The sequence below is a fragment of the Homo sapiens genome, chromosome 5 (genome assembly GCF_000001405.40).
Source record: "Homo sapiens chromosome 5, GRCh38.p14 Primary Assembly".
NCBI lineage: Eukaryota > Metazoa > Chordata > Mammalia > Primates > Hominidae > Homo > Homo sapiens.
This window is the reverse complement of record NC_000005.10, coordinates 37,933,423-37,939,622: the sequence shown is the minus strand read 5'-3', so window position 1 is coordinate 37,939,622 and position 6,200 is coordinate 37,933,423. Positions and strand designations below refer to the sequence as shown.

General features: G+C 40.4%; 1 annotated feature.

Annotated features, from left to right (window-relative positions):
- Positions 1,121 to 1,700: an enhancer, noted in NCBI's record as "NANOG hESC enhancer chr5:37938025-37938604 (GRCh37/hg19 assembly coordinates)". NCBI's record gives its function as "activates a minimal SCP1, AML or CMV promoter by ChIP-STARR-seq in primed H9 embryonic stem cells {active_cell/tissue: H9 hESC(primed)}" and the evidence as "EXISTENCE:reporter gene assay evidence [ECO:0000049][PMID:30033119]".

The following is a 6,200-nucleotide window of genomic DNA, read 5'->3' as shown; positions in this document are numbered from 1 at the left end:
CAGACAATCTGAACCAGAGAGATGGCATCTGAAAAAGACTCCGTCAGCCTTTGCTGGCTTTGAAGATGAAAAGGAGCCATGAGCCAAGGAATTCAGGCAGCCTCTAGAAGCCAGCAAATGCGAGGAAATGGATTCTCCCCTAGAGCCTCCAGAAAGGAATTCTGTTCAGCCAACACCTTGATTTTAGCCCAGTGAGACCCATTTTGGACTTCTGCCCTCCTCTGGAACTGTAAAATAATAAATTTGTGTTGTTTTAAACCACAGAGTTTGTGGTAATTTGTTTCAGCAGTAATTGAAAACTAACATACCTGGAAATCTGCTAAAAAGGTAAATTCTCTGGCTGCACCCCAGACCCACTGAATCAGAAAATCTGAGGGTGGAGCCCAGCAGTCTGTCTTGAAACAAGCCCGCGAGGTGATTCTTATGCCTGCAAAAGTTTGAGAACCATTCACTAGACTAAGCAATCACAGTTATTCCCCTGAAGCAAACACATTCAGACACAGATGGCCAAGAAAACTCAACACTGACAGTTAATGACTTGATTAACCATGATAAAATCTACCAGGCCCATGTCCTGCCTTGACAAGCACACAGTAGGAAACCAACCAAGTCACTGGTGATTCAGACTTCTCTGGGCTTAGGGTCCTCACTGAGAACATCAGTGGTGAGTATGCCCTAGTCCCAAAACCTATTCTGGGAGGTCCTTTTTGAACTCCTATCTGATTCCAGCTAGACTTTTGGCAATGGGAGTCATTTGCCTCTTTCTCACTAAACTTGAGTATCAGGAGAAATGTGAGTAGGTGAGGGTCCAAGTAAATCAGAGATTTCTGATGGCCCATTCCAGAAAGGAGAGGCAGAGTTGACTTTATAAACTCAGACATGGAGGGGTAAGAGTTCTCATAGACCATAAACTGGTTCCCCTAGCTTGCCTTTGGTTCCTGCTCGCCCCCACCACTGCAGCATTGCCACCAAGTGGTGAGTCAGTCTCAGCTTGAGTCTCTCCAAGAATGAGGACCTCACTACCTCCAGTGGTAAATTGTTCCATTTTGAGAGGGTCCAATTATTAGACCTGAGGTTCCTTCATTGGGCAGCTGGTTTTCTTTGGTGCTCATGCTTGATTTCCTTCTGGCCTCCGCTGACTTCTCTGAAGTCTCAGGTGCACACTCACATGCAAGACTGAAATATGACAAGGTTGCAGCCTTTACTACCACTACATGCACTCACTTGTTTTCTCAGCACTATTAGCCTCCACTGACCTCAAAGGGAAGCATGTGTATAAGCTGGGCAGGAGGTAGGCATGGGCCGTGTTAAAGGCAAAGTACTTTAAAAGCCTTTGATGAAAGGCATTAAGGCTTGAAAGGGTTGTTTCTGAAATACTACACCTCCCTTTTAAGAACTCTTAAGATCTGGAGGGTGATACTCTCTCACCCCGGAAGAATTCAAGCATGAATGTTCTTAGAGTGTCCAATTAGGAATCCAATTCCATCTCCCCAGATGCTCATTTCCACCAAAATTACCTAGTTGAATCTGCATTTTTGTTTTTTTCAAGGAACAGACCAAGCTATGCTAAACAATTTCCCAGAGTTAAATAACCATTGGTAGTATTGACAAGTAAGATATAAAGCCCAATAGCTCCACTTAATACACATAGCTATAAGTAGAAAGAAAGCTCCAAGGCACTCTTTTAGTACTCAATAATTTAGTAATCCAATTGTTTTGTGCATCTACTATGTGCCAGGCACTAAGCTAAATACCAGAGAGCATGATAAAGAACTGGAAAGACATAGTAGCTACCCTCCTGGGGCCTACAGATTTCTTTTAAACATCAACTTGCCTGTATTTATAGGGTCTTGTGGCTTCAAACATTTATAAAATAATTTAGGGAAATTTGTTTGTTGGATTGGAATGCACCTGGATCCCTAATTCAGATGGCTAAGTGATGTTATGTGTTTTTAGACAATGAAGCTGGAAATCCAAGACAAAATATTCCCTGGATTTTCAGACATTGCATGTTAAACACATAAAATAATCTTATTCTTATTCATTGATATATTGGTTTTTTTAATGGAAACAACTGAACTGGTGTGCAAGAAGGGATTCTTTAATAGAATGCATGGGGTGGGGGTTATTCTTTCTTACTCTATGTCTTGATGTTTATTTCATCCAGAGTTCAAACTTGGTGGCCAGTGTCACTTGGTTAGCAGCAGTGATTTGTGAGCCCACAGTATTCCCTGTAACCTCCATCAACCATGAGAAACTGGCTCCCTCATTCCACTTATTAGCAAAAAAGCATGAACTACCCACTGCTGTCATAACATGAGCCCTCATCAACACCTGAATAGTTTAGATTTTACCAAAAATTCAAGACCTTTATATATCTTCAACAAGAAAATGAAGAAAAGTTATAACTTGCATCATGTTATACCCTAAAGTGGAATCTAGGCTAACAGAAATAATGGCTGAACCCCTCAATAAAACTGTCATGTAATGAAGACACTCAATAGCCCCGTGGGGAAGCCCACATGGAGAGAGGCCCACATGGAGAGGAAGGAACTTACCAGCTCTTGCCAGCCCCACCTTGCCGGCCATGTGAGTAAGCCACTTTGGCAGCAGATCCTACAGCTTCAGTCAAGCCTTCAGATGAGACCTCAGATATTGTGGAGCAAAGACAAGCAACCCAAATGTCCCTTCTCTGAATTCCTGACCCACAGACACTATAAGATAATAAGTGATCATTGTTGTCTTAAGCAACTAAGGTTTAAAGTAATTTGTTAACATCATAATTACCACATACATATTACCACATACATCTATGTGAAAACAACTCTTTTTTAAGAAAAAAATGATGAGATTCCAGATAGTGGTTACCTCCATCGAGGAGGCAAAAGGATAAGATGACACAAGTAATTATTAAGTAATTGGAAAAGATCTATTTTTGGTATGTTCACTAAGATAGATAGACAGACAGACAGACAGATAGACTGACCAACCTTTCATGTTCCACTGATGATAGTGTGTCTAGAGCCAAGGGTTGTATTTAATGTAATTGGATTGTGTTAATCCAATTCTAAGCACATGACGTCAAATAAATAGGGAGTTAGTTATTACCTGGTAAAATTTGAACATGTCCCCACTCTTTACCCAGCATATCTACTCCTAAGTGTAAACCTTAGAGAAGTTCTTGCACCAGAAGACAGGTACACTATTACAGAAGTATTTTGTTGGAGTAAAAAACTGGAAATACACCAAATATCCAGCAATTATAAAATGAATAAATGCATTGTGGTTATTCAAACAGTAAAACATTATACAGCAACGCATGCTAATGATTAACATCATGGATAAATCTCCACTGAACGTCACGGACAAATATCTAGAGGTATGCAGCCCAACAGAACTTTCTACAATGATAGAAATGTTCTAGAGTATGAAGTTGACCAAAAGAAGCAAGATAAGAAGCGATTCCGTTTCTGTGAAGTTAAATACAGACAAAACTAAACAACAGATTGATTAGAGATGCAGACATGGTGTTAAAACTATTGTGAAAAGCAAATATATATATATGCAAAATTCATACTAGTGGCTAGAGGAGGCAAGAGGATTTAATAGGACCAGGGCACACACAGGGATGTTCAATATTATTGGAAATATTGTCATTCTTCAGCGGGGTGGGGGTAGATACATGGATGTTCATACTTTTATTCTTAAACTGTACACCGATGTTGTCCACACTCTTTAATATGCACAATAAAGTATAAAACATTATGAGTACAAACCAACAAAAAGAAAACATCGCCATTAAATGAAAGAATTTCTTGTCCTCTCAATGTCCCCAGAATCAGGTCTACAAGAAAACTCCCCATCCTAGGTTTCATCTTTCCCTACTCTGTATACAAAAACACATATTGACTAAATATTCTGTAGCTTTACGATAGCAACACCATTCTAAACCTTCACACCAGCAGTTCTCCAACTCAGACTTGTGGACTGTTTGTCAATTCACTATTTAATACCACATGGTGCCGTGAACACGGTGTTGAATTGAGCAGCATCATCCATGATTCTGGGGGCTGCTGAATTCACTCCCTAGGCAAATCATTTCATCCTCTTTTCTCAGCTACTTCAGAAGAACCACTGGGGTTAACCACAGTTGCTCCATTTTTTAATGACTTTATGTTGGACTTTTTCATCTGGTTTCTTTTGAAGCAAAGCTTCCACTGCTTTAAAAAGAAAAAAAAAAAAAAAAACACTTCAAAAACCTCTGGGCCAGATCATGACTAAGAATTTTCTTTCTGTAACATTTTAGAATTCTGTGTTTTGTGAAAGCTATGTTGCTGGGCCTGGAATATTATTAGATGGGTCCATTCAAAAGGACTTCAAACTAGATCACAAACTTGGCATCTTATAGGAAAAGTCTGAAAGTTTATTACCAAGAATAGCAGATTATTCTAGAAGTCCTCTAGCAAAACGACTCAGACTTTCCTTCTTTGCTCCTACTTCAGAACCCACCTGGTCCATGACCTACATACTACCCTTACTCTTAGGAATCTGATAATAAATCTGGCTAACACATTTAATCACTATTAAAGAGAAATTGTGGGAGAGGGGCTGTGGTCAGGGGCATTTGCTGCAAGGGGCAGAATCAGAAGGTAAGTTTCACAAGAGCTCCTGGTGGCCCACAGCTCCCTCCTCTGACCCTGCTAGTCCTCCTGTGTGTCTAACACTCAAGGGAGGGTTGCCCAGACCTCTCGGCCATGCTGTCCCCAGGGTCTTTCTCCTCTGTCCTCCACTCTTCCTGCTTGGGTTTCTCTTGCACTCTGCTTGATCAGTTATATGTCAAGTGTTCTAGACCAAACATCATTATGAAATCCCTATCTCCTGAGCATGAAGAATTCTAGGCACCAGGTAGGGTTGCCTGCATGGCACAACATTCTGTCTTTCTGTATATAAAGTCACCCTTGCCTGTGGCCACTGAGCCCATTACACTCAGAACTGCCTGACAGGACAGATTGAGAGATCCATCCTCTGGACAAGATCTCAATGTTACTGTCTTAAAGAATTAGTCATTCAATCTTCATCACACTTTAGGGCAAAAGAAGCCCCACTTTGGGCTTTGCTCCCTGCCTCAACTCATTCTAATTTTCAAATAAAACATGTCAATTGCTGCTCTGAAGAATAATAGAAGAAAATAGTAATTTTAAAAATATATGTAGGCTTGATCAAACTGATCATACTAATGAGAAACTTAAGATTCAAAATCACGAAGAGTTCTGCAAGGTGCCATTCTGATGTGCACTCATGATGAGTGCACTACTGAAATTAAAGCTGTCATTCTTTTGTATCTTTTCCCTCCCGTACTTCATCTAGGGGATCTGAACTCCCAAGAGAATCACACAGCCACATGTCAATTTCAAGCTATTCATACTGAGTTTGAAATGAGAATATTTTTAAAGTATTGCCAGTAAAGGTAAGTAATATTCTTGGGGGATAAAATCACCAAAGGAGGATGCAAACTGTTTTTGCATCAGCCAGCCCAGAAATAAGCAGTTTCTTCAAATCACACAAATAATTTCACTCCATTTGTTCCCATTGCAAAAAGCTTCATGTTTGTTTTGTTTTGTTTTGTTTTGTTTTGTTTTGTTTTGTTTGTTTGTTTTTTACGGGATGGCTACTAAACATACTGGCTTGTCCCACCCATTGTCTGGAAAATAATTCTTCCGAATTCTTAAAAACTAATTGAGTGGAAGAGGCTCAAAGCAATCCTCTCTCTCTAACAGAAGTTATACTCAGGCCCTAAACTCCAGGATGCATGAACTCAGTGGCCAAAGAATTCAAGCTAATCCATCCCATTCTTGGCAGCTGTGTCTGGTGATCCAGATGCACATGCTCAGATTCGAAGGAAACGGGCACCATCCCATTAGAGAGCTCGGTCTATACAGAGTGGAAGCCTTCCATTTATCATGTTATCTTTTTTAAAAAAGAAAAAAAAGCAACAAGCAGCATTCGAAGGTTCTAATTATATGGAGAACTTCAGCCCGTTCTCCTTCACCCAGCATTTCACACTCTTAAAGCAGACCTTAGACAGCCATCCAGCCTGATCTCCCACTGCCCTCGAGGCATTTTGCCAGGACTAAGCTGTTTTTAACCTCTAACTCCAAGTGCAACTTGTGCACAACGCTGACCCTGAGAACCCTCAGAAA